The 16,176-nt window shown below is 40.4% G+C and overlaps 1 protein-coding gene and 1 pseudogene across 12 annotated transcripts in view, besides 5 other annotated features; both read right to left on the bottom strand.

The window, feature by feature from the left end:
• Positions 1-2,779, bottom strand: part of AGL (amylo-alpha-1,6-glucosidase and 4-alpha-glucanotransferase) — a 74,766-nt gene extending 71,987 nt beyond the window's left edge. For 7 of the 12 annotated variants that reach the window (NM_000646.3, NM_000642.3, NM_001425326.1 and 4 more), the window contains exons 1-2: positions 1,622-1,676; positions 913-1,062 (exon numbers count right to left, since the gene is read on the bottom strand). Coding sequence is in view for 11 of the 12 variants with exons in the window: in NM_000642.3 (NP_000633.2) it covers positions 913-994 (82 nt within the window). In the remaining variant the exon portion in view is untranslated. The other 5 variants (XM_005270557.3, NM_000643.3, NM_000644.3 and 2 more) reach the window with 5 other exon arrangements.
• Positions 582-1,555: an enhancer, noted in NCBI's record as "H3K27ac hESC enhancer chr1:100316038-100317011 (GRCh37/hg19 assembly coordinates)". NCBI's record gives its function as "activates a minimal SCP1, AML or CMV promoter by ChIP-STARR-seq in naive H9 embryonic stem cells {active_cell/tissue: H9 hESC(naive)}" and the evidence as "EXISTENCE:reporter gene assay evidence [ECO:0000049][PMID:30033119]".
• Positions 1,556-2,530: an enhancer, noted in NCBI's record as "H3K27ac hESC enhancer chr1:100315063-100316037 (GRCh37/hg19 assembly coordinates)". NCBI's record gives its function as "activates a minimal SCP1, AML or CMV promoter by ChIP-STARR-seq in naive and primed H9 embryonic stem cells {active_cell/tissue: H9 hESC(naive and primed)}" and the evidence as "EXISTENCE:reporter gene assay evidence [ECO:0000049][PMID:30033119]".
• Positions 1,706-2,025: a silencer, noted in NCBI's record as "silent region_1114". NCBI's record gives its function as "represses an Ori minimal core promoter by ATAC-STARR-seq in GM12878 lymphoblastoid cells {active_cell/tissue: GM12878}" and the evidence as "EXISTENCE:reporter gene assay evidence [ECO:0000049][PMID:35858748]".
• Positions 2,206-2,355: an enhancer, noted in NCBI's record as "active region_1362". NCBI's record gives its function as "activates an Ori minimal core promoter by ATAC-STARR-seq in GM12878 lymphoblastoid cells {active_cell/tissue: GM12878}" and the evidence as "EXISTENCE:reporter gene assay evidence [ECO:0000049][PMID:35858748]".
• RPL39P9 (ribosomal protein L39 pseudogene 9) lies at positions 9,075-9,476 on the bottom strand (annotated as a pseudogene).
• Positions 15,155-15,791: an enhancer, noted in NCBI's record as "NANOG-H3K27ac hESC enhancer chr1:100301802-100302438 (GRCh37/hg19 assembly coordinates)". NCBI's record gives its function as "activates a minimal SCP1, AML or CMV promoter by ChIP-STARR-seq in primed H9 embryonic stem cells {active_cell/tissue: H9 hESC(primed)}" and the evidence as "EXISTENCE:reporter gene assay evidence [ECO:0000049][PMID:30033119]".

Here is a 16,176-nt window from a genome sequence, read left to right as displayed (position 1 = left end):
AAAAAAAATCAAAACCAGAAAAGTGCAGAGTCAGGAAAGCCAAAAATGGAGTAGGTACTCAGTGATTTTAAATGCCAAAGTTGGAAAAAGGCGCGGATTTGGCATGAAGATATCACATTGTATGTGTGAAATTTTTTTCAAAAATTTAATTCTTAAAACATTAGCGAAATTTAAAAATTCCTTTGAAATGTTTATGACTAGCAACATCCATTTGGTACATTAATAAGGGGGACTGGATTTTTCATATATTACACTTCTTCAATGTTGAAAAATTACAAAGGCTAAGAAAATAAAACATCTATTAACTAGCCTTGTAGAAAAGTAATTTGATCTTTTAAATACAGATCAACTATATATAGTTCAACATAACCAGATGAGTTATTGCACTTTTTATTTGCTAAGAAAATATTTTCAGCTTTTACCTACTCCACATTTGAGAAGTTTTTGATATACATAAACAATAGTTTACTATACTTTTTGCTGCAATCTATTTTGTCAATTCAAAGGTTCAACAAAGGAAAAGAGACAGTTATACAAAGGCAAAACTACATGCATACCCAAAGCAAAATTACATATGAAGTAATTTACCAAGTTTTAATAGTAAATGTTATTAGAAATAATATGGGCAATCTTCTGATCATATATTTAACTTCAATCTTAAGTGGGAATTAGTACGCAGAGAAAAGAGAACTATTTTATCCTTATCCTAACACGAGGGATATAAAATATTTTTAATTCAAATCAACATTAATTAGTGATATATGGAGAACACAGCACCATCTTTGCACAAATCAAGTTTTAGACCCTTGGAAATAATATTTATCTTAGAGCTTTAAAACATTTAACAGGACTGCCAATGAATTAAAAGTTTAAAAGACGCAAATGAGCAAATCAAAACAACTTGCTACTGACCTTGTTCAAGTCTGAAGAGGGTCTTTTCCAGTTTCTCCATTTCGTTCAGAAGTAAAATTCGAATCTGTTTACTGTGTCCCATTTTGGCTTCTAGAGGATTTGAAATCTTTCATAAGAATTAAAAGAACTCCACAGTCGAATGAGTTACCCCTATGAAACAAAAAGGAGTTAAAATATCGAAAATAACTATTGCCTTAAACTCTCCAGAGCTGACAGCGGCACTTACATGTTCGAAGTGTGTTTTATGCCTAGCAGAGCAATGAAAGAGAATGAATCTTATAACTATTAAGATTCGAGAAGGCAAATTAATAGTTGTTTCCTGCCTTTGAGCACAACGAATAAGACCGAAATAAAAATGCTGTATTACAGATTCTTACAATTAAAAAATTAAAAACCTAGACCATTCTCAGAGAAAAGCAATACACTTAGGAAAGCCTGAAGTCAGGGGGACATTCCCAGCCCCAAGCCACAGGGCTCTGGAGACTCCGAATGGCACTTCTGCTTACAAGAGATTAGTCTGCTCAAAGATAACAGGTGGGCAATCTCCCCATTCCCAAATTCGGGTCGCCAGCCACCAATGGGGAGATGAGAACAGAGGGAAGCAGTTGTTGCCTCTGGAATAGCTGCCGTAGACAGAAGATGTACAGAGCGAGCTATAGATAGAAAGAATGCGTTTCCCCGCGAGGCCAGCGGCATTCCTAGCACTTACGCCGAGGGAGTTATACGTGCGGCTTCTGGGGCACTGCAGGACCCGCGACTCTGGTGCTACGGTCGGGGGGAGGGGACGGGGAGAAACAGAAGGGGAAGGGCTGGCTGCCCAGCCTCGCACAGAAGCCGCAGCCCAAGGAGGGCCGGGCGCCGTGAAGGGCAAAGGGAGGGGCGGCGAGCGACCGGGGCAGCGCCGAGGCAGCTGGGTGAGAAGCAGGCAGAGTCTCAGCGACTTCGCCTCGCGCGGGTTCCTGGGCGCACCCGGTACCCAACCTGGCCGTGCGCGCACTCGCCCCAGGTGGGAGCGGACCGTACCTCTGGCCCACTTCCGGGAGGCTCGACCCGCCCGCCCCGACCGCTAGTCTCGCGAGAGCGTGGGCACCGCACCGTCTCAGTCGGCTCCGGGCCGGGGGACCTGGAGCCTGCTGCGGCTGAGGCCGGGAGCGGCGCTTTCTCCTTGCCCTGGGGAAGGTGCACCGGCCAAGGCGCGGCCTTCCTTTAACAGCCTGCGAGCTCACAGTTGCACATTAAAATCCCGCGGTACCGGCTGCGAGCTAGGTTGAGCTGCACAGTAGGATCTTTTGCTGGGAAGGGCTGAATGGTGAGGGGCAAACGACCTGGCTTCTGGTGTCTTTTGTGCCACCACGTGTTTTGTTTCTTTGTTTTGATAATTTTTACTTGGCCTAAGTTCTCAGAGTCCTGATTTCTAAGTGTCTAAAATAAGGGGCCTGGCTACAGCCTTGACATTCCAGCCAACACGTGTCCATCACTTCTAGTGCTAACAGACAGGACACATGTTCCTGAATGCAGACCCAGTAGGTAAGGTGTGGCCAGTCTGCAAACCATCGAGAGTGCAAACACCACTGATACTTAACGGTGTCCGGGTGTACCTCATGTACACTAGATAGACCCGGAGATCGTCTGAGATTAAGCTGCACTTATGTTAGGCCAGTAACTCAGAACTTTTTGCAGATGCTTAAGGAGATTTAATGCCTGAGGGTAAAGGAAAACCCATCTTCCAGGGCTTTTGGAGGGCTCCTAATGGTTATGAGAAAATGGACAGAAGATTTGGTTAACTAAGACTTGTGGCGTGTGGAGAAGATTCTTGCATTCTTTATTGTGGAATGACTGTAGGTCCAAAGAGGATATAAGTTAAAAAAAAAAACCCCATACTGAAGTATTTGTTTATTTCTGTAGATTTCTGAGAATGGCTAGTTGCAAATGGTCCGTAACTGACTTTGGGAACCCACAGCTCATTTTCTGGCCCCTACTATTTGCCAGGCACATAAGGTGCTGGGAATGCAGCAATAAAACAGTCACTGCCCTCAAGGAACTCCTACATTTTATTGGTGGGAGACAGATAAATTAAATAAATTATACAGGATATAATATATCCTATATAATAAGAAGGATATGTTATATCCTATATATAATAGGAAGGGGGAAGTGTGGAAGAGTAAGCAGAGAGAGGTTTGCATTTCTAAATATAACGTTCAGTAAAGTGATGCCAAACTGCGAGAAAGAAGAAGTCTAAGGTAGAGGGTTACATGTAGAGGTATAGGAAGTACAAAGGCCATGAGGCAGGAGCATACTTGGTGAACCGAAGAAGATCACCATAGCTGAGTGAAGAAGAGAGTGGTAAGAGATTAGGACAGACAGATGGGGCAGGAGAAGGGATCAGGAGCACAGACGGGTGACCAGATCTTTTAAGGCTTTGTAGGCCATTGCAAGGACTTGGGCTTTTAAACTTTGGAAAAAAAGCCATGGAGATTTTGAACAGAGGAGTGACATAATCTGATTGACCTTTTAAAAGGATCGCTCCGCAACTTTATGGGAAATAGTTGAATAAACTGTAGAGTGTAGCAAGGAAGGAAGCAAGGAGACCAGTTAGAAAGCTATTTTAGTTATTCAAGCAAGAGAAAGTGACTTGTGTGTGTTTTCTCTGTGTCGGGGGGTTGGGGGTGATGGGGGGGAGGTGGTATAGCAGGTGGTGTAGTTGCTGAATTCTGGACTATTTTGAAGATAGAACCTACAGGATTGGTGGAGAAAGGAGTCAAGGATGACTCCAAGGTTTTTGGCCTGAATGAGCAGAAAGCACTGTCCAATAGAAATATTAAGTGCCACATAGGTCATTTAAAATTTTCAAGTAGCCACATTAAAAAAACTTTTTTAAATACAAAAATTAGCCAGGCATGGTGGCACATGCCTGTAGTCCCAACTACTGTGGAGGCTGAGGCAGGAGAATCGCTTCAACCTGGGAGGTGGAAGTTGCAGTGAACCCAGATCATGTCACTGCACTTCAGCCTGGGTGACAGAGCGAGACTGTCTCAAAAAAAAAAAAAAAAAAAAAAGAAAAGAAAAGAAAGTTTTGAAAAAGGTAATATTAATTTTAGCAATATAATTTACTTAATATATCCAAGGCATCATTTCAACATATAACCAATAGAAAAAGTTACTTTATTTTATTTTACTTTTTGAGACAGGGTCTCATTGTCACCCAGGCTGAAGTGCAGTGGTGCAATCATGGCTCACTGCAGCCTCAACCTCCTCCCTCAGCCTTCCTCATCCATTCCCAGTAGCTGGGACTACCAAATGCATTACATTTGGTAAAAGTATTATTTCACAAAACTTCTATTTCTGTTACTTATGTTTTGGTGTACTGAGTCATGTATTCTTACTGGAAGGATTATGGTTAAAAACAAGATTGAAAGTGATTGTTCTAGATTGCATGCTGTGTAAAATGATAATTCATGATTATGAAGTGGTGCCTGGTGTTGAATCCCAGCTCTGCCACTAACTAGCTGTGAAGCTTTGCATGGTACTCAACCTCTTTGGGCCTTGGTTTTTGCAACTATAAAATGGGGATGAAAGTAGTATCTATTGTTAAGTAAATGAGGGCTTAGAACTGTGCCTGATAGAGACTAAGTACTAGCGTACATACAAATGTTAGCAGAGTGAGGCCCTGACCATGTTGTGAAAACAGATCACATTTATGTTTGTCTTCAAGTTCTCCCTTTCCATGCCCCCTCCCACTTTCAGTCTCTCCTATGACTATCTCATTACACTGCCCTCCTGTTGATCACTGTTCTCCAGGGCTCCAAAATTAGCCTTTCTTGCTGTCCTTCCTCCAGTAAAACTCTCACTTTAATGCCCAGTGTTGCAATTAGATATAAGGAGTAAAAGATATTGATGACATCAATTCCTTTAGTAGTGATTTATTCTCATACAAATGCTTGAATTTTACAAGATTTGTAAATCCAAATCATCTTAATCTTGGAAATTTCATATTTTGAATGAAAATGAAGACTGCTAAGTAATGGAACCATGATTAATATGATGTGCCTCTAAGATTAATTTTACAAGCTACATAGTGTCCTTTTTAAAAAAGAAAAGTCACATTATTGTGCTATTTGTGAAGTTCTTGGAATGCCAATGAGTTTGCAGTCTAGGGCTACAGTGGTGCCATGTGCAGCCTTCATTTTAATGCACATTTGTCATGTGCCTGTCCTGTGCATGACAGTGATCTATATATACACAATAATCTCATGCTGTAGTTGTCAGGAGAAGGCTCACCTTGGGGAACATCTGATGGATAACCTCAACTATTTGGCAGTGACTCTAGTGCTTTCTAAAACATTGAAGTTAATGCATTTGGGGAGTGGGAGGAGGACTGTAGTTGGAAAAGACTTTCTCCAGGGTTGTGTGTATGTATGTATGCTTTCTGAAAGGAAAAGAGTTATTTGGGTTATTATTTATAATTAGGTCCTAATCCTGTGACCTTGTGGATCTGAAATGGACGGGGCTGCCTTATATTTGGTTTTTATATTCTTTGGCATTTTCTGTGCACTTTATTTCAGAGTGCACCATTATTATCATGTCATAATTTTACTTTGTAAAATTTGGATTTGTGTTTTCAGAATCCCTTCTAAATTGAACAACTTATTCTGTACTTTTGAAATATCCAGATACAGCCAGTGAGAAGCAAAAGGGAAGCAGGGAAAAGAAATAGAGTTGAAGTTGGAGAAGTGGAAGACTTGAATGTAATGATACAGAGGTATGGAAAATCAGAGAGAGATTTTCTTAAAGTGAGATAGAAAACAGACTTTAGAGGCAAACAAACCTTGGATTCGTTTTAATCACTCTGAATCACGATTGATCACCCATAAAATGGAGAGAACAAGACCTCACTTGCAAATTTGGCATGAAGATTAGAAGAAAAAAAGAAAGCATTTGAAGCATCTATTCTAGCACTTAGCACATGATAGACTTTTAATAATAGTTTTTTTAAAAAAGAAGGGGTCACATCTAGTTGTCCTTGCTGGGTTCAAGATGGTAGTCAGACAAATTAGATGAAGAGGAGGTTCCCAGTGCATGGCAGAGGCCAAAGTTTCCAGAAAGTTTCTTACTTTGTGAAGAGGGGATATAAGAGTGAATTCAGTGAGCAAAATCAGAGCGTAATTGTTTCAGCCCAAATTAGAAAACAAAAAAAAGGCAGAACCTAAGAATGAAATGAGGATTAGTCAGTATACAATAAATATTTATTAGAAAATGTATTGAGATGTACATAAATAGTGGTAAATATAGTTGTATTTCTATTCAAAACAAAACTTGAGCTCTTAGAGTTTGCATAGGAAAAGTCCTTTAAAAATTCCTAATAATTGATATAATAAATTAGTCAAAAACAATGTATGGAATGCTTTGAATGCATGACAGGAGGACACGCGAGAGGCTTTTTTTGGTGGTGATCTTTCCTTTTTTCTTAGAGTAGATCTTTTAAAATGTTGTTTGGCCCCAATTTAAAAACGAAATCATTTACTCTTGCAAATAAATTTAGCTGCTTGTTGTTGGAAGCAAGCCTCCCAACATCTGGCCATAAACTGGCCCCAAAACTGGCCATAAATAAAATCTTTGCAGCAATGTAACATGTCCATAATGGCCATAACGCCCAAGCTGGAAGGTTGCAGGTTTACGGGAATGAGGGCAGGGAACACCTGGCCCGCCCAGGGCGGAAAACCGCTTAAGGGCATTCTTAAGCCATAAACAAAAGCCTGAGCGATCTGTGTCTTAAGGGCGTCTTCCTGCTGCAGTTAACTAGCCCAACCTATTCAATTAATTCGGCCCATCCCTTCGTTTCCCTTAAGGGATACTTTAGTTAATTTAATATCTATAGAAACAATGCTAATGACTGATTTGCTGTTAATAAATATGTGGGTAAATCTCTGTTCGGGGCTCTCAGGTCGGAAGGCTGTGAGACCTCTGATTTCCCACTCCACACGTCTATATTTCTGTGTGTGTGTCTTTAATTCCTCTAGTACCGCTGGGTTAAGTTCTCTCCTACCGAGGTGGTCTCGGCAGCTTGTTAAAATTGTGAGCTCCAGAGTTTCCATAAATGAGCGCTTTGGGTTGGCAGTATAGCTGAAGAGAAAGGACCAGGAAAGGGGGACTTCAAGCTGATTTGCTGTATTTGTTAGCATCACCTCAGCTGCAGATGGCAGGAACACACACACACACGACAAAAGTGGCTTAAATAAGAGCCACTCTCACATATTTTCTCTCACATAAAAGTGTAGAGGATGCTGGGCCCGGTGGCTCACGCCTGTAATCCCAGCACTTTGGAAGGCCCAGGTGGGAAAATCACTGGAGGTTAGGAATTTGAGACCAGCCTGGCCCACATGGCAAAACTTTGTCTGTACTAAAAATGCAAAAATTAGCCGGGCCTGCTGGTGTGTGCCCCTGTATTCTCAGCTACTCGGGAGGCTGAGGCAGGAGAATTCCTTGAACCCAGGAGGCAGAGGCTGCAGTGAGCCGAGATCATGCTACTGCACTCCAGCCTGGGCGACAGGCAGGAGGGCGAGACTCCGTCTCGAAAAAAAAAAGGCTAGAGGTAAGCTCTTCAAAGCTGGTGAGGCAGCTCTGTAAAGTCATCAGGAACCCAGGCTCCTTTCAGCCCATAGCTTCCTCCCTTTTGTGTTGTGGATCTCATCTTCATTGTACAATAAGGCTGCCAGAACTCCAGCTGTCATATCCAAATTCAGGCATCAGGATGGAAGAAGAGAAGAAGAAGGGCGAACCTTCTTCCTTTAAGGATAATTATTGAAAATACTGTACATTTCTGCTTGTCTCATGTTTATTAAAACTTAATCCCAATGTACATACAAATGTAACCTTTATGTAGGCAGCAATGAGTCTAGCTAACACCCAGGTTTTGTTGTTCAGGAAAGAAAGAATAATTTTGGTGGACAACTAGTAGTCTCTGACACAGTTTGCGTGGTATTTTATTTTAAAATTTAATTGTTGTCAAAGTGACACAGTTTGCAGCAGGAGAATGGAAGGCTCTTGGAGGAATGCCTCCAAGGGATGGGGGTGGGGGAGAGACTGATTATTTAATGAGCTTGACCACATTGAAGAAAAAAAAGTCCTGTTGGAGAATGAAGCTTTAGATCTGTCAGACAAATGAGTTTGCTAAAACTGAACTCTAGAACTGGGCCAACTTTCTCCCAGTCACAGAAGGACTGGAAGAATCGTGCTTGGCCACTTCATGGTCACTCCTAAAAAGGAAGAGGGATAGAGGTGAGCCAAGCTCACAGTTATTCTTCCCCAATTTCCCAACCAGAGAAATCACTTTTCCTCCTCAGGAATGGAGCAAGTTAAAGGGCAAAGAAAATCCAAGATATTGTTTTGGGACACGCTCTCTTCAAAGAAAACAGGAATTAGGGAAAAATATTTTCATCAAACATAATATAAGTCATTTAACCTCTTTTAGGCACTAATTCCTCAGCTGTTATTTATCTACCAAGGATCACAAAAATAAAATGTCTGAAATGTTTTGAAAATAATACATGCTCTATAAATGGTAACAACTAATATTAATGAGCTTTTAAGAGGTGCCAGGTACTGTTCTAAGTTAACTCAATTTCCAGAACAACACTATTATTACCCCCACTATAAAGACAAGGAAACTGAGTACCCAAAGTTAAGTAACTTGTTTAAGATCACATAGTGAGCAAGTGAAGGAATGTGACTTCAATTGCATGCTCAGTGATTCTGTTCGGTAATGCTACATCTGAGGCAGTGATGCTACGTCCATGGCCTGGTAATCAATAAGATTTTATAAATTGAATTGGAATGTTGTTGGCTTCATATATGGCTATGCCAACAGTGAGTCTGTTTTCTTGATTCTAGGATATTCTCGCTAATCTAAGACTCTATCATCTTAGATATCTCCTTCAAGAAGTCTCTGCCTGCCGTGCCCTCCCTCCCATGGGTCTAGGTTAGGTGCTCCCTGGAGCTCCTTTGCTGTGGCTATGTTGTGCCATGTTGTGTAATAACTCATTATCCCACTAGATTTCTTCAGACAGGGCTGCGTTTTCTGTCTCTGGAAAACAGAATTACAAAATTATTTACACTACTTAGATATATTAAGAAACGTATATTTTATTCTTTTTGTTTGTTTGAAATGAAAGGTCTCACATATTTATTACTGAATCCAGCCTACCAGTGCACCAACAGCACATACACAGAGAAAAAAATATATATTCACAATAAAACATGTCCAACTGTCCAGATAGTGGTGACATTTTCAGCTTGATATGGTAAGATGGTTGTGACCTTGACACAGCATAAATATGTGTGCCATCTCATGTGTAATTCCGTACAGACCCAGCTTGATTCTTCTCCAATGTCTCCTTTTGGAGTTCTACCTGATTTTATTACCAGTTTTCATCTGGATCCACTGGGGGATGGGATGATTTTGCTTTTGTTTCTTGACCACGAAATGCTTAATCCTGAAAGTCTTGTGAGAAGACATGGCAAGAAGCAGAGTCAAGCACACACCTCGATGGCAGAGAAAGGAAGAGAGTATATTTTATTCTTAAAAGCTTCTCCAATTTCCTTTACCGTTTCCTAACTGCTAGGCAGGTGTGGGAAAACAAAAATAATTTTAGTCTAATCTGGTTGGAAACTAATTCTGAGCCAATTATTTAAATAATCTCTTTAACCCAGTCTCTTTGAAATCATTGTTCTATTGTTTCGACGCCCCTTTCTCTCTCTACTTTGTTCTAAGAGATGTCTAGTATAAGGAGCAGGATCTCACATGAACTGGTTGCACTGGGGGAGTTGAACTCTGTGACCTTGAACTGGTTCTTGTGCAGGGGCTGGCATCACCTAATGTGTATCTGTCTAGTCCTGTTCCTGGTAATCCTGTTGGCACAAACTATTGATGTCTGTAGCTGATAACTTCCTGTCTATTCTTTCTTGGCTTGGCCAGAGTCTAAAGGCATCCTCCTCCCCTACTGTCTCAGCCTTTCTTGATCCTACTTTCACTACAGACCCCTCTCTGAGTACCTAAAATGTTCTCTGCCTGGTCCAAGGCCCAAGACATCCATTTGATAAGGCTTTGCTGGAATCACCTCAACTCTGTCATGGTGGATCTATAAAATGTGTACTGGAGCTGAAACCCAGGTCCTATATGTAAGTGATCTTGCTTTACCCTCTTAATCATTCTAGGATCCCTCTTTTTGGACCCCCCCCAACCCCCGCACCCTTTTTGCCTAGTATAGCATTCTACAACCAGAGTTCAGAACAGGGAGCAGAACAAAAAGCCCTGTGTGCATTCAGTAAACACTGTGTTTGCTGTGTACTAAGCACTGTTCTATGCACTGGGGATACAGTAATGAACAAAACACACAAAAATCCTTGCCTGCATGGAATTTATAATCTAGTAATCCCCTCAACCTATTGGACTTGCTTCTATCATGATACATCAGACCGTTTCCTTCGCCTCCTCTTTTCTTTAGGTTTTCTCATCTTTACAATCTTTCAAACCCTTTCTTAAGAGAATGGGTTTCCCTTAGAAATTTTTTTGTTTCTCAAACTGCCCATAGTCTTGCTGCAAAATCCTATTTTGAATGTCAGGTGTTAAACATCACCTCTCCTTCCTCTATGCATTTATTCTATTACAATCCAAATCTCCTACAGAGGCAGATGGGTGTCTTAGGCTGAATGGAGAAAGTCTTGCATATTGCAAAGGCAAATAAGAAAGTACATTAATATCTTTAGAAATACTAACTTCATTATATCAGAAACAATAATGCACCATTCCCCCCTTCCAAATTCCTGGCAGCTACTCCTTTCTGTCTCTATGATGTTGATGACTCTAGGTACCTCATATAATAAAACCATACAGTAGTTTTTGTTACTGATTTATTTCACTTAGCAAAATATTGAGGTTCATCCATGTTGTAGCATGTGATAGTATTTCTTTTCTCTTTCTTTCTTTTTTTTTTTTGACAGGATCTCACTTTGTTGCCTACGGTGGAGTGCAGTGGCATGATTTTGACTCACTGAAGCCTCATCCTTCCAGGCTCAAGTGATCCTCCCATCTCAGCCTCCCGAATAGCTGGGACTATAGGCTCATGCCACCATGCCTAGCTAATTTTGTTTATTTTTATCTATTTATCTTGTTGAGACGAGTTCTCATAATGTTGCCCAGGCCTGTCTCGAACTCCTGGACTCCAGCAATCCTCCCACCTACCTGGGCCTCTCAAAGTGCTGGGATTACAGGCATGAGCCACCATGCCTGGCCTAGGATTACTTTTTTAAGGCTGTCTAGTATTCCATTTTGTGTACACACACATTTAGTCATCTGTTAATGGACATGTGGTTTGCTCTTGGCTCTTATGAATAATGCTATTAGGAACATGAGTGTATTAGTTTGTTTTCACACTGCTGACAAAGACATACCCGTGACTGGGTAATTTATACAGGAAAGAGGTTTAATGGACTTACAGTTCCATGTGGCTGGGGAGGCCTCACAATCATGGTGGAAGGCAAGGAGGAGCAAGTCACATCTTACATGGATGGCAGTAGGCAAAGAAAGAGCTTGTGCAGGGAAACTTCCCCTTATAGAACCATCAGATCTCATGAAACTTATTTACCAACACGTGAACAGCAGGGAAAGACCTGCCCCCCATGATTCAATTACCTCCCACCGGGTCTCTCTCACAACATGTGGAAATTCAGGATGAGATTTGGGTGGGGACACAGCCAAACCATATCAGTGGGTATACAATGATCTCTTTGAGATCATACTTTCAATTCTTTTGAGTACATGCCCAGTAGTAGAATTGCTGGATCATATAGTAATTCTATTTTTAACTTTTTGAGTAACCACCATAATGTGTTCAACAGTGGCTGTAACATTTTATCTTCCCATCAACAGTGCACAAAGATTTCAGTTTCTCCACATCCTTACCAACACTTATTTTCTATTTTTTGTTTTTTTTATAGTAGCCATCCTGGTAGATGTGAGATGGTATCTCAATGTGTTTTTGATTTTCATTTCCCTAATGGGTAGTGATGTTGAACATTTTTTTATGTGCTTACTGGCCATTTGTAAATCTTTTGGAGACATGTCTATTTAAGTCCTCTGCCTACTTTTGAATTTTTGTTGTTGTTGTTGAGTTTTAGATTAGTTCATTACATATTCTAGATATTAATCCCTTATCAGATGTATGATTTTAAAATATTTTCCCCCATTCTGTAGGCTGTCTTTTCATGCTATTGATAGTGTCCTTTGAAGCACAAAAGTTTTACATTTTAATGAAATCCAATTAATCTATTTGCTTTTTGCCTGTGTCTTTGGTGTCATATTCATTGCCAAATTCAATATCATGAAGTTTTGCCCTATATTTTCTTCTAAGAATTATATAGTTTTAGCTCTTTTGTTAGGTCTATGATTCATTTTGAATTAATTTTTGTATATGGGGTTAGGTTAACAGTCCATTTTCATTATTTTGCATGTGGCTATTCAGTTTTCCCAGCACTATTTGTTGAAAAGACTGTCCTTTCCCCACTGAATGGTCTTAGTACTGTTGTTGGAAAACATTTGACTATATATACTGGGGTTTATTTCTGGGCTCTCTATTCTATTTCATTTGTCTATCTATATATCTGTCTTTATGCCAGTACCACACTGTTTCAATTACCAAAGTTTTGTAGTAAGTTTTAAAATCAGGAAATGTGAGTCCTCCAATGTTGTTCTTCTTTTTCAAGATTGTTTTAGCTGTTCAGGGTCCCTTAAGATTCCACATGAATATTAAAACTAATTTTTCTATTTCTGTAAAAAAAAAGTCAATCTGTAGATCACTTTGGGTAGTACTGACATTTTGACAATATTAATCTTCTAATCCATGAACCATGGGATGGTTTTCCATTTATTTATGTCTTTCTTAATTTCTTTTAGCAATGTTTTATAGTTTTCAGTGTACAGGTCTCCTTTTGGTTTGTGAATTCCTAAGTTTTTAAATGCTATTTTAAATAGAATTGTTTTCTTAATTTCCTTTCAGATTACTCATTGTTAGTGTATCAAAATGCAATTGATTTCTGTGCATTGACTTTGTATCCTGCTGCTTTGCTGAATTCATTTATTCTAACTGTGTGTGTGTGTGTGTGTGTGTGTGTGTGTGTGTGTGGTATCTTAGTTTCCTACATATCACATCTGTGAACAGAGATAATTTTACTTGTTCCTTTTCAATTTGGATGAAGCTTTCATTTATTTGTCTTGATCAATTGTTCTGTCTAGGACTTTCAATATGTTGAATAGAAGTGGTGGAAGTGGTTATCCTTGCTTTGTTCCTGACCTTAGAAGAAAAGTTTTCAGTCTTTCACTGTTGAGTATGATGTTTGCTGTAGATTTTTTTACATATGGCTTTTATTAGGTTGAGGTAGTTTTCTTCTAGTTTGCTGAGTGTTTGTATCATGAAATGATGTTGAATTTTGTCAAAAGCTTTTTCTGCATCAATTGAGATGATTCTTTATTTTTTATGTTTAATTTTTTTTTTTTTTTTTTGAGACAGAGTTCTCACTCTGTTGCCCAGGCTGGAGTGCAGTGGCGTGATCTTGGCTCACTGCGACCTCTGCCTCCCGGGTTCAAGTGATTCTCCTGCCTCAGCCTCCTAAGTAGCTGGGACTACAGGTGTGTGCCACCACACCTGGCTAATTTTTGTATTTTTAGTAGAGACAGGGTTTCACCATGTTGGCCAGGTTGGTCTTGAACTCCTGACCTCAAATGATCCGCCTGCCTCGGCCTCCCAAAGTGCTGGGAATACAGGTGTGAGCTACAGTGCCTGGCCTCTTTATTTTTTAAAGAATACATATTTTCTTTTCCTTTTTGAAGTATCACAGGAAAGGGCTTGATTTTGCTATATCTTATAGCAGCATGGTAAATTTATGGTTAGCATAGTGCTAACCATGATGCATTTACTGTCTTTTCAAAAGCTTTAACTTTGGTTAGTTTTTTTTTTTTCCTCAGTTTTGAATAGGAATTGATTTGACAGCTGATTTTGTGTGTCCTTTGCCCAGCTCAGAAGGGTGGAAAACAAACCTGTCAAAACAAAGCTCTCAGAGTGGCAAAATTCCTAAGAATGCATCAGGTATCCTGACCTAACAATTAAATGTCTGTCCTACTAGAGGGTGAGCTTATTGAGAGGAGAAAATATCTTTTCTCCGGAATCCCCAGCACCTAAAACATTGCCTGTTGTATAGAAAACACTCAATAACATCTTGAGAAGGAATCCAAGAACAGTGTGTCTCTTGCCCTTTCTTCCCTGTCCTTTCCCCAAGAGAGAATACATCAAAATCAGTAACTTCCATATAGTTAATTTACTGTGAAGTATAAATATGAAAACATTCAAGTTCTACAAATAGTGCAAAAGTGAGCAGTTATGACATTTGACAAACTATTGTTGAATTGAAAGGTTTAGAGTTTGGTATTAAGAAAGGACTGTACTCTCTCATGTACTCCATGTCATAATTGATTGCTTTCTTTTTCCAAAGCTATATAGACTCATGTATTATCCACTTCTTCTTCTTTTTTTTTTTTTTGAGACGGAGTTTCGCTCTTGTTGCCCAGGCTGGAGTGCAATGGCGCGATCTTGGCTCACCGCAACTTCCGCCTCCCAGGTTCAAGCAATTCTCCTGCCTCAGCCTCCCGAGTAGCTGGGATTACAGGCATGCACCACCATGCCCGGCTAATTTTGTATTTTTAGTAGAGACGGGGTTTCTCCATGTTGAGGCTGGTCTCGAACTCCTGACCTCAGGTGATCCGCCCGCCTCGGCCTCCCAGAGTGCTGGGATTACAGGCGTGAGCCACTGCGCCCGGCCAATCCACTTCTTAAGAGTTAAGTTGATAGATTGTCTGAGGGTACATGGCTAACCAGTAATTAAAGCCTGAATTGGAAAATAAAAGTACTTTGTCTAACCTCTCAAAGCAGGGCATTATTTCATGTAGGTCATCACACAGTACATTGTGTGAAAATAAAAATAGATGAAGTATAATCTATGAGTGATACCTGTATAGATTCTCAGTTTGATGACCAATGCAACCTAACTTTCCAGAGCACTTGAAAAAGGTATTCCATGGCCGATCAAGTAAACTTAGGAGAAAGGTCAGTGGTGTAACTACAAAGGCCGATCTATTTTAACTACCTAAGGTTTAAAAAAAGCCCTCTTCTCAATTTACAGTGACTGTGGGAGTCATTTTCCTGCTTACACAGTGGTAAAGTTTTGTATATCTTAAATGCAACATAGTAAAAACTCAACAGAACATTAAATTAAATTAATCAGCACTTTGGAAAGTTTATTCCATGAATGTGGGGAAAAGAGAGATCAGACTGTTACTGTGTCTATGTAGAAAGAAGTAGACATAAGAGACTCCATTTTGTTCTGTACTAAGAAAAATTCTTCTGCCTTGAGATGCTGTTAATCTGTAACCCTATCCCCAACCCTGTGCTCGCAGAGACATGTGCTATGTTGACTCAAGGTTTAATGGATTTAGGGCTATGCAGGATGTGCTTTGTTAAACAAGTGCTTGAAGGCAGTATGCTTGTTAAAAGTCATCACCACTCTCTAATCTCAGGTACCCAGGGATACAATACACTGCGTAAGGCCGCAGAGACCTCTGCCTAGGAAAGCCAGGTATTGTCCAAGGTTTCTTCCCATGTGATAGTCTGAGATATGGCCTCATGGGAAGGGAAAGATCTGACCATCCCCCAGCCCGACACCTGTAAAGGGTATGTGCTGAGGAGGATTAGTAAAAGAGGAAGGCCTCTTTGCAGTTGAGATAAGAGGAAGGCATCTGTCTCCTGCTCCTCCCTGGGCAATGGAATGTACCTGATTGTGTGTTCCATCTACTGAGATAGGAGAAAACCGCCTTAAGGCTGGAGGTGAGACATGCTGGAAGCAATACTGCTCTTTAATGTACCAGATATGTTTATGTATGTGCACATCAAAGCACAGCACCTTTTCTAACCTTGTTTATGACACAGAGATATTTGTTAACATGTTTTCCTGCTGACCCTCTCCCCACTATTACCCTATTGTCCTGCCACATCCCCCTCTCTGAGATGGTAGAGATAATGATCAATAAATACTGAGGGAACTCAGAGACCGGTGCTGGCGCGAGTGAGCGCCGGTCCCCTGGGCCTACTTTTCTTTCTCTATACTTCGTCTCTGTGTCTCTTTCTTTTCTCAGTCTCTACCGGACGAGAAACACTCACA

Source organism: Homo sapiens, chromosome 1 (genome assembly GCF_000001405.40).
Source record: "Homo sapiens chromosome 1, GRCh38.p14 Primary Assembly".
NCBI lineage: Eukaryota > Metazoa > Chordata > Mammalia > Primates > Hominidae > Homo > Homo sapiens.
This window is presented reverse-complemented; position numbering and strand designations above follow the sequence as displayed.